Raw genomic sequence first — 17,005 nt, forward strand, 5'->3', positions numbered from 1 at the left:
TTTAAGTTTTAGGGTACATGTGCACATTGTGCAGGTTAGTTACATACGTATACATGTGCCGTGCTGGTGTGCTGCACCCACTAACTCGTCATCTAGCATTAGGTATATCTCCCAATGCTATCCCTCCCCGCTCCCCCCACCCCACAACAGTCCCCAGAGTGTGATGTTCCCCTTCCTGTGTCCATGTCATCTCATTGTTCAATTCCCACCTATGAGTGAGAATATGCGGTGTTTGGTTTTTTGCTCTTGCGATAGTTTACTGAGAATGATGGTTTCCAATTTCATCCATGTCCCTACAAAGGACATGAACTCATCATTTTTTATGGCTGCATAGTATTCCATGGTGTATATGTGCCACATTTTCTTAATCCAGTCTATCATTGTTAGACATTTGGGTTGGTTCCAAGTCTTTGCTATTGTGAATAATGCTGCAATAAACATACGTGTGCATGTGTCTTTATAGCAGCATGATTTATAGTCCTTTGGGTATATACCCAGTAATGGGATGGCTGGGTCAAATGGTATTTCCAGTTCTAGATCCCTGAGGAATCGCCACACTGACTTCCACAATGGTTGAACTAGTTTACAGTCCCACCAACAGTGTAAAAGTGTTCCTATTTCTCCACATCCTCTCCAGCACCTGTTGTTTCCTGACTTTTTAATGAGTGCCATTCTAACTGGTGTGAGATGGTATCTCATTGTGGTTTTGATTTGCATTTCTCTGATGGCCAGTGATGGTGAGCATTTTTTCATGTGTTTTTTGGCTGCATAAATGTCTTCTTTTGAGAAGTGTCTGTTCATGTCCTTCGCCCACTTTTTGATGGGGTTGTTTGTTTTTTTCTTGTAAATTTGTTTGAGTTCATTGTAGATTCTGGATATTAGCCCTTTGTCACATGAGTAGGTTGCGAAATTTTTCTCCCATTTTGTAGGTTGCCTGTTCACTCTGATGGTAGTTTCTTTTGCTGTGCAGAATCTCTTTAGTTTAATTAGATGCCATTTGTCAATTTTGTCTTTTGTTGCCATTGCTTTTGGTGTTTTAGACATGAAGTCCTTGCCCATGCCTATGTCCTGAATGGTAATGCCTAGGTTTTCTTGTAGGGTTTTTATGGTTTTAGGTCTAACGTTTAAGTCTTTAATCCATCTTGAATTGATTTTTGTATAAGGTGTAAGGAAGGGATCCAGTTTCAGCTTTCTACATATGGCTAGCCAGTTTTCCCAGCACCATTTATTAAATAGGGAATCCTTTCCCCATTGCTTTTCTCAGGTTTGTCAAAGATCAGATAGTTGTAGATAGGCGGCGTTATTTCTGAGGGCTCTGTTCTGTTCCATTGATCTATATCTCTGTTTTGGTACCAGTACCATGCTGTTTTGGTTACTGTAGCCTTGTAGTATAGTTTGAAGTCAGGTAGTGTGTTGCCTCCAGCTTTGTTCTTTTGGCTTAGGATTGTCTTGGCGATGCGGGCTCTTTTTTGGTTCCATATGAACTTTAAAGTAGTTTTTTCCAATTCTGTGAAGAAAGGCATTGGTAGCTTGATGGGGATGGCATTGAATCTGTAAATTACCTTGGGCAGTATGGCCATTTTCACGATATTGATTCTTCCTAACCATGAGCATGGAATGTTCTTCCATTTGTTTGTATCCTCTTTTATTTCCTTGAGCAGCGGTTTGTAGTTCTCCTTGAAGAGGTCCTTCACATCCCTTGTAAGTTGGATTCCTAGCTATTTTCTTCTCTTTGAGGCAATTGTGAATGGGAGTTCACTCATGATTTGGCTCTCTGTTTGTCTGTTGTTGGTGTATAGGAATGCTTGTGATTTTTGCACATTGATTTTGTATCCTGAGACTTTGCTGAAGTTGCCTGTCAGCTTAAGGAGATTTTGAGCTGAGACAGTGGGGTTTTCTAGATATACAATCATGTCATCTGCAAACAGGGACAATTTGACTTCCTCTTTTCCTACTTGAATACCCTTTATTTCCTTCTCCTGCCTAATTGCCCTGGCCAGAACTTCCAACACTATGTTGAATAGGAGTGGTGAGAGAGGGCATCCCTGTCTTGTGCCAGTTTTCAAAGGGAATGCTTCCAGTTTTTGCCCATTCAGTATGATATTGGCTGTGGGTTTGTCATAGATAGCTCTTATTATTTTGAAATATGTCCCATCAATACCTAATTTATTGAGAGTTTTTAGCATGAAAGGTTGTTGAATTTTGTCAAAGGCCTTTTCTGCATCTATTGAGATAATCATGTGGTTTTTGTCTTTGACTCTGTTTATATGCTGGATTACATTTATTGATTTGCGTATATTGAACCAGCCTTGCATCCCAGGGATGAAGCCCACTTGATCATGGTGGATAAGCTTTTTGATGTGCTGCTGGATTCGGTTTGCCAGTATTTTATTGAGGATTTTTGCATCAATGTTCATCAAGGATATTGGTCTAAAATTCTCTTTTTTGGTTGTGTCTCTGCCCGGCTTTGGTATCAGAATGATACTGGCCTCATAAAATGAGTTAGGGAGGATTCCCTCTTTTTCTATTGATTGGAATAGTTTCAGAAGGAATGGTACCAGTTCCTCCTTGTACCTCTGGTAGAATTCGGCTGTGAATCCATCTGATCCTGGACTCTTTTTGGTTGGTAAGCTATTGATTATTGCCACAATTTCAGATCCTGTTATTGGTCTATTCAGAGATTCAACTTCTTCCTGGTTTAGTCTTGGGAGAGTGTATGTGTCAAGGAATTTATCCATTTCTTCTAGATTTTCTAGTTTATTTGCGTAGAGGTGTTTGTAGTATTCTCTGATGGTAGTTTGTATTTCTGTGGGATCGGTGGTGATATCCCCTTTATCATTTTTTATTGCGTCTATTTGATTCTTCTCTCTTTTTTTCTTTATTAGTCTTGCTAGAGGTCTGTCAATTTTGTTGATCCTTTCAAAAAACCAGCTCCTGGATTCATTAATTTTTTGAAGGGTTTTTTGTGTCTCTATTTCCTTCAGTTCTGCTCTGATTTTAGTTATTTCTTGCCTTCTGCTAGCTTTTGAATGTGTTTGCTCTTGCTTTTCTAGTTCTTTTAATTGTGATGTTAGGGTGTCAATTTTGGATCTTTCCTGCTTTCTCTTGTGGGCATTTGGTGCTATAAATTTCCCTCTACACACTGCTTTGAATGCGTCCCAGAGATTCTGGTATGATGTGTCTTTGTTCTCGTTGGTTTCAAAGAACATCTTTATTTCTGCCTTCATTTCGTTATGTACCCAGTAGTCATTCAGGAGCAGGTTGTTCAGTTTCCATGTAGTTGAGCGGTTTTGAGTGAGATTCTTAATCCTGAGTTCTAGTTTGATTGCACTGTGGTCTGAGAGATAGTTTGTTATAATTTCTGTTCTTTTACATTTGCTGAGGAGGGCTTTACTTCCAAGTATGTGGTCAATTTTGGAATAGGTGTGGTGTGGTGCTGAAAAAAATGTATATTCTGTTGATTTGGGGTGGACAGTTCTGTAGATGTCTATTAGGTCTGCTTGGTGCAGAGCTGAGTTCAATTCCTGGGTATCCTTGTTGACTTTCTGTCTCGTTGATCTGTCTAATGTTGACAGTGGGGTGTTAAAGTCTCCCATTATTAATGTGTGGGATTCTAAGTCTCTTTGTAGGTCACTCAGGACTTGCTTTATGAATCTGGGTGCTCCTGTATTGGGTGCATATATATTTAGGATAGTTAGCTCTTCTTATTGAATTGATCCCTTTACCATTATGTAATGGCCTTCTTTGTCTCTTTTGATCTTTGTTGGTTTAAAGTCTGTTTTATCAGAGACTAGGATTGCAACCCCTGCCTTTTGTTGTTTTCCATTTGCTTGGTAGATCTTCCTCCATCCTTTTATTTTGAGCCTATGTGTGTCTCTGCATGTGAGATGGGTTTCCTGAATACAGCACACTGATGGGTCTTGACTCTTTATCCAATTTGCCAGTCTGTGTCTTTTAATTGGAGCATTTAGTCCATTTACATTTAAAGTTAATAGTGTTATGTGTGAATTTGATCCTCTCATTATGATGTTAGCTGGTTATTTTGCTCGTTAGTTGATGCAGTTTCTTCCTAGTCTCGATGGTCTTTACATTTTAGCATGATTTTGCAGCGGCTGGTACCGGTTGTTCCTTTCCATGTTTAGCGCTTCCTTCAGGAGCTCTTTTAGGGCAGGCCTGGTGGTGACAAAATCTCTCAGCATTTGCTTGTCTGTAAAGTATTTTATTTCTCCTTCACTTATGAAGCTTAGTTTGGCTGGATATGAAATTCTGGGTTGAAAATTCTTTTCTTTCTTTAAGAATGTTGAATACTGGCCCCCACTCTCTTCTGGCTTGTAGGGTTTCTGCCGAGAGATCCGCTGTTAGTCTGATGGGCTTCCCTTTGAGGGTAACCCGACCTTTCTCTCTGGCTGCCCTTAACATTTTTTCCTTCATTTCAGCTTTGGTGAATCTGACAATTATGTGTCTTGGAGTTGCTCTTCTCGAGGAGTATCTTTGTGGCGTTCTCTGTATTTCCTGAATCTGAACGTTGGCCTGCCTTGCTAGATTGGGGAAATTCTCCTGGATAATATCCTGCAGAGTGTTTTCCAACTTGGTTCCATTCTCCCCATCATTTCAGGTACACCAATCAGACGTAGATTTGGTCTTTTCACATAGTCCCATATTTCTTGGAGGCTTTGCTCGTTTCTTTTTATTCTTTTTTCTCTAAACTTTCCTTCTCGCTTCATTTCATTCATTTCATCTTCCATTGCTGATACCCTTTCTTCCAGTTGATCGCATCGGCTCCTGAGGCTTCTGCATTCTTCACATAGTTCTCGAGCTTTGGTCTTCAGCTCCATCAGCTCCTTTAAGCACTTCTCTGTATTGGTTATTCTAGTTATACATTCTTCTAAATTTTTTTCAAAGTTTTCAACTTCTTTGCCTTTGGTTTGAATATCCTCCCGTAGCTCAGAGTAATTTGATCGTCTGAAGTCTTCTTCTCTCAGCTCGTCGAAGTCATTCTCTGTCCAGCTTTGTTCTGCTGCTGGTGAGGAGCTGCGTTCCTTTGGAGGAGGAGAGGCGCTCTGATTTTTAGAGTTTCCAGTTTTTCTGTTCTGTTTTTTCCCCATCTTTGTGGTTTTATCTACTTTTGGTCTTTGATGATGGTGATGTACAGATGGGTTTTTGGTGTGGATGTCCTTTCTGTTTGTTAGTTTTCCTTCTAACAGACAGGACCCTCAGCTGCAGGTCTGTTGGAGTACCCTGCAGTGTGAGGTGTCAGTGTGCCCCTGCTGGAGGGTGCCTCCCAGTTAGGCTGCTCGGGGGTCAGGGGTCAGGGACCCACTTGAGGAGGCAGTCTGCCCGTTCTCAGATCTCCAGCTGCATGTTGGGAGAACCACTGCTTTCTTCAAAGCTGTCAGACTGGGATATTTAAGTCTGCAGAGGTTACTGCTGTCTTTTTGTTTGTCTGTGCCCTGCCCCCAGAGGTGGAGCCTACAGAGGCAGGCAGGCCTCCTTGAGCTGTGGTGGGCTCCACCCAGTTCGAGCTTCCTGGCTGCTTTGTTTACCTAAGCAAGCCTGGGCAATGGCGGGCGCCCCTCCCCCAGCCTCGCTGCCGCCTTGCAGTTTGATCTCAGACTGCTGTGCTAGCAATCAGCGAGACTCGGTGGGGTAGGGCCCTCCGAGCCAGGTGCGGGATATAATCTCGTGGTGCGCCATTTTTTAAGCCCTTCGGAAAAGCGCAGTATTCGGGTGGGAGTGACCCGATTTTCCAGGTGCCGTCCGTCACCCCTTTCTTTGATTAGGAAAGGGAGCTCCCTGACCCCTTGGGCTTCCCGAGTGAGGCAATGCCTCGCCCTGCTTTGGCTCGCGCACGGTGCGTGCACCCACTGACCTGCGCCCACTGTCTGGCACTCCCTAGTGAGATGAACCCGGTACCTCAGATGGAAATGCAGAAATCACCTGTGTTCTGCGTCGCTCAGGCTGGGAGCTGTAGACCGGAGCTGTTCATATTCGGCCATCTTCGAGAAGACTGTTTTCAAAGCTGGATTAGAGATTGACTAGAAAGGAAGAAAGCCTGAGTATAGTGATTAGTCTACCCAATGCATTGTTTCTCAAATTTTAGGTGTAGTAAAAGGGATCTGTGGATACATTTTAATGAGAACCTAATAATTTTGGGTCCCCAGTAATCGACTTAGACTTACTTTTAATATATTGTTGCTTAAATATAAAAATAGGCATAAACTCTATATGCTTTAAGAATTTTAATAAAACAGATAAAACTAAAATTAATGTTCACTTAATGTGCCTACTGATTCTAGATTTAATAGTAGAGCTTCAGATCCACTTATACCTTTTTTTGACCTTATCATTACAAATGCAGAACATCCCTGTTGTATAAGTAGGCTGAACAAAGTGGTACTAGTACCATCAGTCAACATTTTGTGATAGAATTCAGGGTCATCAGACTCCATACCAAATGAAAATTTTGGTAGAGAGCAACTCTCAAATTCCAGTTTTAATAGGATGTCTGCTCCAGAACCTTGTAAAGTTGTGTTGCTCACATGAAGAGAAGGCTAGGATTGGAATATAACATGGGTATTTAATCCATTTACTGCTGGAATCAGGAAGCAAAAAAGTATTCAGTACATATTTACCACTCAATTTTTAGATAGTGAACAATTGCAAGTTGGTCCACAAGGATTACATCCGTATAATACAACTGATCATGTCCTGAAGACGGTACTGACTGTTATGTCACAGTTCTCATATGTCCAGCTTGCCTAGACTGTTGTGTGAAAGAGCATTGCACCCTGTGATGACTCAAGTCTCTGAAAAATTTTCTCTCTTCAAATTATCATGAAACCTTCATTAGTACAGTGCACAATAATGTTGCTTGGCTTTTACGTAATATAAAAGCAAATATATATAAGCCTTTTTGTATATCAGTGATCAGTACACTAGTCACTCATAAGGTGATGATGCAGGGTATCCTTATGTAAACACTTTTTACTGTACCATAAAGTGAAAACACAAAACTGTAAATATACCCTGTTTTAAGAAATAATGCCCTAGTGAGCTCCACTGACTTTTTTTTTTTTTTTTTAATGAAATTGGCTGCAACATTGGGAATTACATCATGTAATTAATATCTTTGTTACATTGGGCTCTTTTAGAACAGAAACTTACTCTGGACCCCTTAAGAAACAAAATGAATTTTACTTCCTTCTGTGTGTCTGTTCTTTTCTATTTATCTTTCAACTGGCTTACTGCCCTATTGAGTAGTGCCTTTCATCACAAATCATGCCATGTGTTACCTATGAATTGGCTGCCCCTGAAGGAAACTGATGTCCATAATGGTCCCTTCATTGGCCACTGTTGAGGGGGAAAAAGCCTATTTAGTACTGCTTTCCTAAGTAAAAAAAAAAAAAAACTATTGAGGGTGATGGTTTCAGCTAGAAGTGGTGTTGGGTACATCGGGCACAATGACCTGAGGCAACTGTTTGCACTCTAAGAAAATATCACCCCTTTCAGGGTCATGGGAAATCCAAGTGTAAGTTATATTCATTGCCTCCACTTACTCCTCAACCTTCTGCAATCTGGCTTCTGCTCCCCTTATTTCGAACTGAAATTGCTCTCATTAAGGTCTCTAATGACCTCCATATTTCTAAATCTGATAGTTTGTCTTTATTTTACTGCATCTTTCTACAACATATGATATTATTGCTTATTCCATTTTTCAAAATATCTACTCCCCTGAATTCCATAACGTGTACTGTAATGGTTCTTTCTATGCCTCTCTGAATATTTGCTGTTTTGTTTCATGGACTCTTCTTCCTATACTTATCTCTTAAATGTCACTGTTTCCCAGGATTTGATCATTAGCCCACTGCTTTTCTCACTTTACGTACATTCCTGAATGATGGCTTTGATAACCATCTACCATCTATTACCCAAATCTCTCTCACTCTTTTCAGGCCTCTCCCCTGAACCTTGGTCTTGTAATATTTGTAACGGCCTGCTGGGCAGGTCCACTCAGATGTTTTAAAGGCATACAAATTGACAAATCCCTAACTGAACTCATCATCACCTGGAATGCACCTTTTTCTCCTATATATTCTTAGATGATGGAACCACCATTCTCCCAAACATATAGGCTGGAAATTTTAGAGTGATCTTGGACTCCTTTTCTTTAATTTTAGAGTGATCTTGGACTCCTTTTCTTTCCTACATGTCCAATGAATCCCTAATTATTGTCTTGTGCTTATTAAGTTCACCTACTGCATGATCACCAAACTGAACTGTCTTACCACTTCACTCCCTATTGCATATCTGAAGTTCAAGAGCCTTAAAATGACACATAAGCCCAATCTGTGTTCTAACCATCATCCCCTGCTTTTAATCAATACTGATTTTGTTTGTCATCTTCACACACACTTTTTTTACCTCATATTTTCTCTTCCTTTCCTCACAGCATCTCCTTTTCCTGGAATATACTTTTCTTCCAGGATAATTCATCCATATCCTTTAAGAATCTACAACAATATTGCCTTCTCTAGAAAGTCTTCCCAAAGATGCTTCCCCTAAGGCTTGGCTGAGTATTTAATTTCTGTACTCCTGAACAGTATACCCCTCATCATAGCACACACTATAACTCTCTTCTCATTATCTTTGTATGCTAACCGCATTTGAGAGAGAACACCATGAGGCAAAGGGCTGAGACATTTCATTTTGGTATCAGGGGATCCAATATAATCTAAGTTCTCAAACTGACTCACTGAGAACTATATAACAGAGTAAAGAGAAAGCCTTAATACATTTCCATTAGACTAATTTTTAAACCAAAATGCCACAATCACTACATAGTACCTGCCTTGAAAGACTGGCTCATTTATCTCTGTATCCCTCTAGCACTGTGCCAGGCACATAGTCAATGTTCAAGAAAAGATGGTTGAAATAAATTGCAGGCCAGTTTTTGGACAGAGGGAAATATGCCTGACATTGGAACAGACTCTGCTTATGACAGCAAGGCTCCTCCTCTTTCGAGTGCATAAGTCTACTCAGGAAACCGAATTGAATTTCAGCAGGTTGCCTGGTAAATCTGCTGTCCTAGAAAAAAAAAAAAAAATGAGTGACCGGTTTTGCTAGATGCATCATTCAAGCCAGGCTGGAATCTCTAGAAATAATCTCTTTCTACCCTAAAGGACAAATCTGTCCAGACAACTGGAATCCTAAAGCAGCGAAGTAATAGAAAGCAGTCTGGCAACATTTCTATACCCACTGGATGACAATAAGAAAAATAAGTAAATAGTTATGAAAGATTTTCATTGCTTCTCAAGGGCATAAAAAAAATACCCTCGCCTATGATGACTTGTGAAATAGAGTTAGAACCTTGATAAATTCTGACTTCTGGCTGATCTTTTTAAGTCTTTGTTTTAATAGGCTAATCTGAAAAATACTTCTATAAACATCTGTTTGCATCTAATCTCATTGTCCCAAAAGTGACTAAAAAATGTCATAGTACCATAATGAGGCTGTCTAGACTTTGAAAAGTGTAATATGATCGTGATGCTAAAATCTTTGGAATTTGGCTCTCACAATATCTAATATTTAAAATGTTCAGCTTTTTCTCTGTATCGGGTGCCATTCTGGTCATTTTACTTTATTGTTTCATTACTAAAGTCTTTGTAACTGCCCTGTTAGGTGGGTCTTTAATATTATTTTTATGTTCACAAGGGGAAATTAAAATGAGAAAAACATAGCTCTTAAGTGGCAGAACAAAGATGTGAACCCATATGTATGGCCATACACTGAGAACTTTGACCTGTCACGCTAAATTGTGACTATCCATTGTAAGTAGAAACAGTTTTTTGCTTGAGGCTTGTTTATTGATTTGTGTGCATGCTCTTCACATCCATCAGAAGATTAGTATGGGCCAGGTACTAGATTACCTCATTTAGTTCTGTTAATACTCTTCAGTGTAAGTACCATTATTATCCCCATCTTACGAATAAGGAAACTGCTGTTTAGAAAGGTTCATTTTGCGAATGCATAAACGCAAAGTGGGCCTAATTGGTTAGGAAACAAATGAGTCTAGTAGTCTACATTAATAAGTTCAAAGACTACACATAGCAGTTAGCTTTACTTTGCTCCATTGTTATAAGTGGTAAGAAAGAATATAATGCTTAGTGCTAAGACTTCCCTTTCCACCCCACACTGCCTGCACTAGGAAGGGAAAATTAACCCGGAATGCATGCTTTACTAAACATCGGTCAGTACCTTTTACCATCAAAGGACAGACTTTTTTTTTTTTTGAAGTCTCATGTGATTTTTATCATTGAAGTAAAACTCTCTCCAGGTGATGTAATGACATACCTCCTATTTTTTCTGGATTTTTACCCATCTGTTTGGAGAGAGTCAATCTTTTAGAGAGAATGACTTTTTAAGACTTTAACTTTTAGAATTTATAATCTAAGATACGTGAAATACCTTTATAAATGATAACTGTGTGGACACAAATTTATTCATGTTCTAAAATTTGTAAGCCATGACTTTCCCATCAGGGAACATTCCACGGCCCTTACTGAAACAGGGCAGAAAACTGGCACCTGTTTTATATCCTTTTTTTCTTTCCATTATAGTATACTTAGTGATGGTATAATCAACAAGGAATTAGTTTAGAGATTATTGGATCCTATGCTACTCTTTCTTAAAATTGAAAACAATATGTACTTTGTAGCTAAAGACTGAGAATTTAACATCCTATCTAGATTTTGTTCTCTAGTTTGACAAATTAATCATGCTCAATGCCAAAAATTCAGATATTATAGAAATATATATATATATATATATATATATATATAAAAGAATCAGATGGTTGCGGTGGCTCATGCCTGTAATCCTAGCACTTTGGGAGGCTGAGGTGGGTGGCTCACCTGAGGTCAAGAGTTCAAGACCAACCTGGCCAACATGGTGAAACCCCATCTCTACTAAAATACAAAAATTAGCTGGGCATGATGACGGGTGCCTGTAATCCCAGCTACTCGGGAGGCTGAAACAGAAGAATCGCTTGAACCCAGGAGACGGTGGTTGCAGTGAGCCAAGCTCGCACCACTGCACTCCAGCCTGCACGGCCGAGAGAGACTCCATCTCAAAAAAAAAAAAAAAAAAAAAAGAGTCATCCCACCATTCATAGATAGCCACTATTTTTTATTGGTGTATATCCCTCTAAACTTTAAAAATTATAATATTATAAATTATATTTTTTTCAAAAAGCAGATTATGACATACTCTTATAACTTGCCTTTTTCACCTTATCATATGGACCTCTTTTTATCAAGTACATGTAGATCTATGTAATAGTTTAGATTGACTGCATAGTATCCCAATGTTTGTAGGTTCCCTGTTTTGTCTAATCCCATGATGGACATATTGGTTATTTATGATATTCATTAGTATAAACAATGCTGCAAAGAACATCAGTGTATGATGATCTAGCTTTATACATTTATCCGATAATGTGAGGACTGGCTTTGTCCCAATAGATGTAAATGTCAGGAATGATTCTTTGAGACATCTTATATGAGAAGCAAGTTGCTAGGTTAGTAGCCATTTTTATTCATGTATAGGCTCAGCCTGGCACTCAGGTTGTGCATGGATTGTGTTAGACACTAGAAATATAAAGGAACTTGTGCCAATTATGAATATGGAATCAAGAAGCTGTGTTTTAACTGTGTCCTAATTGTTCATATTTAAAACAACTTTTGACTGGCTTCTACCTTAAGGGACAATTTGTATTTTAAAACAATGGCACCGACAGCTGTTAAAGTGTGTGTGATATTAACCATACAGGTTGCCTTTGTTCATACAACTGGTTAAGTAATTAAGCACAGGCTAGCATGGGGAACATTGCTAATGGGAAGCACCTGTTTATAGACTCTTGCATTGTAAGCTGTAGGTTAAGTATCTTTTATCAAAATCATAGGCAGTGGTATATTTCTGTGATCTGGTTCTTTGGGAAATGGAGACATCATGCAGGGTGAATGAACGACTGCCATTTCTGCCTCACTGCTGAAACTAGCGAGCCTGCATATCAAGGGTACCTGGGCTTACTTAAGCTGGGGAGTTGGACTGACTACCCTAAAACTTCCATCATCAGCAAGAAATACGTAGCCCAGACCCAAGAGATGGGTTGCACATGTTAAAAACAAAAAGAGTAGATACATGGTCTTAGAGTGATTCAGAAACAAAGGCAGATGACAGGTAAGTGTATTCTAAGTCAGCATATCAGCAACAAAGTTCAGGCAGATCACAAACAACTGCCTCAGAAAATGACAGAGGATTGTCCATCATGTGCTCAAAGTTAGAGAAATGGCTGATGCCTACTATTCTTAGTCATAGGCATATATGCCACACATGGAGTAGAAAGGCACAGAGATGACAGGTGATAGTAATGAATTGACCTTGTAGCCACCATGCCGTTTAACAGCTAGTTTATTCTCCACCAACCCAAATGGCTGCTTGAGCTCTCACCCTGCCAAACACTCCTGGCCCAGGTTATTGCAATCTATGCCTTCATCGGCTTTTCTACTGTCACTCTTGATACTATCTAGGATATCTAGGCTTCAACAATAGAACCTCTTCGGAAGATTTCAGAGAGCCCATTTCTGCTCACTTTTTAAAGCAGAACTCCTGTTTTCTATGTAAATGCTTCAAGACTGTTTTTTTAAAAAAATAGAATTAAAATTAAAATTACATGTTTATTGAAACAGCTGTCACTGTCTTAGTTCTAATAACTACAAGTCCAGTCAGTATATTTTATTTCATTATTTTCTTCCTTAGAAAATAAAGGTTAAATATGTATAGACATTCTGGTTCTTCCTTTATACATTCATTGCTTTTCATACCCTCTTTGCAAATAGGAAACATTTAGTCATTAAATAGCAATATTCGAGAACTAGAATTCCCTTTTTCTGCTAATCAAAAATTAACAGCTATCTTTCTGTTTCTTCTTGTTGAAATCCCCCTATCTTTTAAGGCTTAACTGGGAAGAAGTTGTCCCTGACTCCCAGCTCCTGTACTCAAGGGATATGATTTTTCTCCACTTTGAACCTCCATTGTACTTAAAATGTAATAGATGCTACAAGAGACAATATAGTTAGTTTCATGTTCTAGTTGTTGGTACATTTATCCTTTCTACCCTCATAATGTGCAAGGGTGCCTGTTAAGGTACCCTGCAGATAGCTTATGCAGTAACAACGTGTGGATAGACAGACAGAAGAAAGCCTTTCCTTTCCTTGTATTAATGTCAAAATACATTCCCTCTGTGAAAGCAGCAGAGCTGAAGGTGAATTCAAGGATCAGTTTCTGATTTGATGCTAATGATTGGATGATTATTTAATCAACAGACAAGTTTCTAGAAACTACTATGTATAAGCCACTATCATAGACACCTTGAGCATCTCTGTTGTAGTTTGTGTGGTTTCTGTTAGCTTGCTCTTCAATATGTTTCACATATATAACTTCCTTGGAAGCTTTACCAGCTATTGCCTAACTTTCTTCATATATTTATTTGTCACCTTTTTCTGTATTTTCTAGATATGCAGGCATCCTCATCAGACTTTGAACATCATAGAGAGAAAATCTGTCTTACGACCCAATTGCATTCTCTAGTAAAGAAGCAAACATAATGCATGGCTCATATACAAAACCAAGGACATTTAAAAAAATCTATTCACTAGCTTTGACATTGAGTCCAAAGATAATCAATGGCAAGGTCTGTGGCAGTTGAAATACTGAACAATATACTGATGTAATTTTTTCTTAACCATACTTTTCTAAGATTTCTTGAAATGCCCATGTTATCAATTATGTAAATGCCAGTCATTCAGAATCCCAAGAGATTGGCTGTACATGTTATAAAAATATCATGTTTATGGTAGATAAAAGTAAGTATTGCATATTTTCTACATTTGTAGTTTAATGTGGATACATTTTTAATGCCTTGAATTAATATTATTGTACTATGTGATTTTACTTTTATCAGGTATTTCAATCTTCCTAAAGTTACTATAATTGAGTTTGTTTGATAATGTACCTTTACATTAGTACGAGACTTGATAGTTTGCAAAATATGAGGTTCATAATAGAGATGGAGAGTAGAGTTACTACCTGGCAGGGAGGATAAGAAGAAAGTGAAATATAGAAAAGTGATTTAATCTCACTACTGCAGTTTTGTAAAATCTAATTTGTTTTTCCCCTAGCACAGCAGAGTTTCATGTTGATAACAAGCTACTGAATTAATAAATCCATTGCAACTATTGAGATTTTTCCTTTAATAACATAACGAATGCTGAGCATTAAGAAAAGGAAAGGCGTTCTTTGCACAGAAGTTACCTCTAGCAGATCTACATCCCTATGCATAGGAACAATACCAACATCATACCGTGAACAATATCAATGTGAAAGTAATTTGTGCATCTCAATTAGAATACTGTATTTTCTACACAAAAGCACTCTGTTTCATGGAACACATTTGCTTATTTTCCAATTGGAAAGACATTTGGGGGTCTATTTTGTTATCATTACATGTGCTTAACTCCAATTACAGTTAATGGGAGTCGTGTGTCTATAGTCACAGTAGCCTCTGAACTATTTTAACATTATTGCTTTCCATTACCATCCTCGTTAAAATAACTTTCATCTCTTCTACCAACCTGAACTACCACAGTAATCTAGGTTTCTGTTTTCTTTGCACGGATTTATTTGCATGTAATGAAGGATACAGATTACACAACATGACCTGTTTCTAGTTTGCACATTATAATGTCATTGAGATTAGAATAGGTCTAGAACTATTTAATTGCTAAGTGGAGGTAATCGATTGGCTTCTAGACGAGTACCCATTGGGTTTGTTTATCTAGCTGTGTTATTTTTAAGTTGTTTTGGGATTATAGCATGTAGAGTTCTAAAATGTGTCCTAAAAAATACATAGTTTAAATGAAAATATGAGTAATGGAGGTTTAACTCCACCAGATATTAAAACATCTCATGAGGCTGAAATAATGAAATCAGGAGCTATTGGCACAAAAATATGGAATAATCTCAATGTCAATGGAACAGAAACCCGAGTATAGCAATTTATATTTGATAAAGGAGGTAACATGAATCATTATAGAAATTCATGATTATTCAACAAATAGTGCAGGAACAGCCCATCTCCTCTTTGTAAGAAAAAAAAGAAACAAACTGGTGTGGAAACTTACCTGACATTGTACAACAAAATGAATTATAGATAATTTAAATAGTTACATGTAAAAAAAAAAAACAAGTTAAACCTTAAAGAGCAAGAACTCATATAGTTGAATGTTTGTCACATGTCTCTGGCTAGAGAAGGACTTTCTAAGCTTAAAAACAAAGAAACAAATCACAGTGTAAAAGATTGATAGATTTAGTTTCATAAAAACAGCAAAAAATGAAACCATATATTCCTAAAAACCTACAACACAAAATAAATAACAATCAACAAGCAATCAACAAACAAAGGAAAATATTTCTAATAAATATTTCAATTGTTTAGTATCCCTAACATGTACCATTTAAAATAAAAACAAAAGCAGAAACCTAAGATCCCAATAGATAAATGGGCAAAAGACATGATCAGTATAGAAAGGAAGACATATGAAACGTTCCACCTAATTAGTATTTGAATAAATGCAAAAAGAATGAATCAGATGCAATTTTTTCACTTTTTATATTAGCACATTTTTAAAAAGATTAATACCTAACAAAGAGATAAGATACACAAATTCATATACTGCCAATTGGATTTAAATTAATACAACTATTCTGGAATACATTTGGACTTACTTTTGCATACCCTAACAATGCCACTTCTACATATGGCATATGTAAAGATGTAACTGTCATGTTCCAGAAGTTTAATGACATGGAAAATTTCTACAATACAATATTAAATGAAAAGGTAGAACACCAAACTGCATATGTAGTTTGAGCTCAGTATATATATATATATACGTACACATACACAAAAGACACTATTCTGGTCACAGTGAGGAGAAAGAATCTGGTCAACTAGTAGAGCAATTGGCTGTCCCCCACAAAGAGATTAGGCTCAAGCCTAATTTGGCTGCCACCTTGCAGTCATTTCTGGTGAGTAAAAAACTATTTCCAAGTCAGGATTTCTAAAATCACAGAGAAAAGCATAAATAAAACCATTTTGGACACAAGGGGGAAAAAATGTAAGTCCATATGAGATGATTTCAGTATAACAGTCCAAAATAAATCATCTTTCTCTCATCAGTGCTTGGGATGCAAATAGCTACTCTATGGACATTTTTGGAAGCAACATAAAAAGTTTTCTTGGTTTCCTTAGCCTAAGCTGCAATAGACCCAGACCTCTACTTGCTCTCTTTGCCAGAAACAATGCCTGACCACTGATGGTAAATCTGCCACATTGTCACTTTCAAAGGGCTTTGGAGAAAGCAAAGCTCATTGTAAATTACAGAGGGTTTCTTTTACTTTGTTTTCTAGCCTACTAATTGGCATTAAAATGGGATATTTTGTAACACTATGTATATAAGGGTCATAGACTTCGTTTATGTTATCCTGCTGTGAGGGACTAGTATATAATGTTAGGTCAACACTGGTATCTCTACATGCCTATGAAGCACCATAGGGAAAGAAACAGCCTTCCCCTAGGCAACAACAGATGGACGCCTAACCTTGTGGGGAATGAATAATGGACGTGGCCCTTTTATAACAGTTTTTTTCAATCCCAAGTTTACCGCCTCATGCCATATTCAAGATACAGCCTTGTACTTTTGGCACTCGCTCACTGTGTTAGAGGATTGTTTGCACACTCCCAGGTTACATAATGCAGCTCGAGTCCTCCAGTCTATCTCATGTCACATTGTGTTTAAGCTTTATCTGTATTGTGCTTATTCCCCAGTTATTTCACTTGACAAAGTCTTCGGTAAGAAGGAAATTAATGATGTAGATTTAGGTGTGG

The 17,005-nt window shown here is 38.0% G+C and overlaps 1 protein-coding gene across 1 annotated transcript in view, besides 2 other annotated features; it reads left to right on the forward strand.

Moving 5' to 3' along the window:
* The window catches only part of DIAPH2 (diaphanous related formin 2), a 920,156-nt gene that overhangs the window by 893,348 nt on the left and 9,803 nt on the right, over nt 1-17,005 (forward strand). The gene's annotated exons all lie outside the window — the stretch shown is intronic.
* Nucleotides 5,070-5,718: an enhancer, noted in NCBI's record as "NANOG-H3K27ac-H3K4me1 hESC enhancer chrX:96838258-96838906 (GRCh37/hg19 assembly coordinates)". NCBI's record gives its function as "activates a minimal SCP1, AML or CMV promoter by ChIP-STARR-seq in naive and primed H9 embryonic stem cells {active_cell/tissue: H9 hESC(naive and primed)}" and the evidence as "EXISTENCE:reporter gene assay evidence [ECO:0000049][PMID:30033119]".
* Nucleotides 5,719-6,366: an enhancer, noted in NCBI's record as "NANOG-H3K27ac-H3K4me1 hESC enhancer chrX:96838907-96839554 (GRCh37/hg19 assembly coordinates)". NCBI's record gives its function as "activates a minimal SCP1, AML or CMV promoter by ChIP-STARR-seq in naive and primed H9 embryonic stem cells {active_cell/tissue: H9 hESC(naive and primed)}" and the evidence as "EXISTENCE:reporter gene assay evidence [ECO:0000049][PMID:30033119]".

The sequence above is a fragment of the Homo sapiens genome, chromosome X (genome assembly GCF_000001405.40).
Source record: "Homo sapiens chromosome X, GRCh38.p14 Primary Assembly".
In the NCBI taxonomy this organism is placed as follows: domain Eukaryota; kingdom Metazoa; phylum Chordata; class Mammalia; order Primates; family Hominidae; genus Homo; species Homo sapiens.